This window comes from Homo sapiens, chromosome 20 (genome assembly GCF_000001405.40).
Source record: "Homo sapiens chromosome 20, GRCh38.p14 Primary Assembly".
NCBI lineage: Eukaryota > Metazoa > Chordata > Mammalia > Primates > Hominidae > Homo > Homo sapiens.
The window spans coordinates 50,411,777-50,414,008 of NC_000020.11; the positions used below are offsets into that span (position 1 = coordinate 50,411,777).

The window sequence follows — 2,232 nt, forward strand, 5'->3', positions numbered from 1 at the left end:
CATTCCCTCCAGCAGCTGAAAATGAGTCCGAGATAGTCATTTTTGGATAGTTCTTAAATACAACATATGGATGAGCAGTCATTAACCACGAAGCTTAGGAGACCTAGTGTGATCTAGTGTCAATCTGGGTTTCTTAGTTGCGAGGGACAGAATGCACCCCTCTGGCTAGTTTACACAGAAAAGGAGTTTATCAAAGGTTATTAGGTGGTTCATAGGACCCTCAGGGGAGTTCCTGAGTCAGGACTGGGGGCAACACAGCTAGGAATGAGGCTGGAATTTGATGGAGAGCTGCCCCAGTGAGCCCCACTTCTACTCAAGGACGCCCCCACTGCATCCTCCAGACCCAGGTTCTCTTTCCCACCTCTTTTGTCCTGTTGTTCTCTTTTAATTGGAAGCCTCTCACAGGGGAGCCCACTTCACACTCCCGCACCCGGGAGGCTCAGGGAGGCTAGGAAAGCAAGTTTTCTGGCAATTCCTTTGAGAGATGTGATCTACTAAGGTAGGAAATTCCCTGAAGGGTGACCGCAGGGTGTGGGCCAGAAAGTAGGGCAAAGGTCAGCTCCTTCGGCAAAGACGGCTGGGCTTGTGGGAAGAATCCAAAAAGGTTTCTAGCAACACCTTCTCCATTTCTCCTCCACTGAGGGCAAGAGAACAGCAGAGAGAAGTAAATGACAAAAGTGTCATTCCCATTTGTGTCACCCTTGGGGTTCACCCAACTCTGCAGAGGCTAAGTTAGAGTGGGGACCTTGAGATCTGTCCTCGCTTCACCAACCTGAGGCCAGCAAGCCAACGCGGATGTCTCTATCTGATGGATGTGTGTCTCCTGGACCCCTGACCACATCCTTCAAGGAGACGTTTGTGAAGGATGTGTTTGCCTTGTCCACTGTTGCACTGAACAACACCAGCATCCGGACAAGCCCTGGCACACAGTAGGTGCTCAATAGATAAATCTCGAATGAATAAATGATGGCACTGGACTCTCTGCCTTGGAAGAAACCTTGGAGTCTAGAGTTACCATGGATTGACTCAACCAGTATTTCCTGAGCACCTACCATGCTCCAGGCCCTATTTTAGGTGCTGCGGATACTGCAGGAAAGAAAAGAAAGTCCCAGTCCCTGTCTTCAGAGTGAAGGAGATGGGCAATCCATTTTAAAACGCCAAAAATATTCATATAACACAGCACAACACAACATAACATCATATAATCTGATCTAATACAATACCAAGTAAAATGTTTTACAAGGAAATGTAAAACTGGATAAGTGATTTGGAGATGCTCATTTAGAAAAATAATTGAGGAAGGCCTCTCTGAGAAGGTGATGTTCAAGCAGAGATCTGCGGTAGGAAGGGAGTGAGCTGAGCAAATATGGGAGGGAAGTGTATTCTGGGCAGAGAGAGCAGCCGGCACAAAGGCCCTGAGGCAGGAATGAATGAGCTTGGCGTGTGCCCTTTGTGGTGAGGCGGTCAGTGAGGCAAGGGTTACACCAAGTTTCCCAACTTCAGCAAATCTACAGAACCCTTAACTGGCGGAAACAGGAGGTAGGGAGGGATGAGTTCTTCACTCTTAAGCTTCTCTGGGAAAACATGATGTCAGGGACAGACAGTAAATCTTGACTTGTCCCAGAAAACAATGGGCCCATGTAACCAGTGAAGTGTTAGCCTGAAAGTAACCGGCCAAAGGGCTGGGGTGTGGGTGGGTCATATGGAATTTGTTAACAGATCTGCATTAGAAAAAGAGCTTCCCAGTTGGGGGCAGCAGAAGCTTCTGGCTAACATCAAAAAGATGTTTATTGTGGTGATTCTGTGCAGACATGAAAAATGGAGATTCGCCACACAGAGATGTGGAAAGATGTCCCCAATACGTTAAGTGAAAAAATAGGCCACAGGATAGTATTATATATTGTACAATCCCTTTTGAAAATTCACTAGTCATTTATTCAGAAAATATTCATTATGGACCTAATGTGGTGTGGAAGACCCAGACGCGGTCTTGCCTGCCTCCTGGAACTGACCGCACAGTGGGGAAGGCAGATGACGATCAGATCAGTACACAAACATATCATCCAAACCTTTGATCAGCACTAAGGAAAGATACCTGGTGCTACCAGAATGTGCACACACATCAAGTGATGGAAAAAGCCTGCGAGGATGTGCTCCAAAATGTCAAAGTGGTAGTAAGGTTTCAGGAGATTCCACTTTCCTTTTTTGTTTGTTTTTTGGGATGGGGTCTTA

At 46.7% G+C, this 2,232-nt stretch overlaps 1 annotated feature.

Moving 5' to 3' along the window:
• Window positions 1,356-1,650: a silencer, noted in NCBI's record as "tiled region #2765; HepG2 Repressive DNase matched - State 5:Enh". NCBI's record gives its function as "represses a minimal TATA promoter and a strong SV40 promoter by Sharpr-MPRA in HepG2 cells {active_cell/tissue: HepG2}" and the evidence as "EXISTENCE:reporter gene assay evidence [ECO:0000049][PMID:27701403]".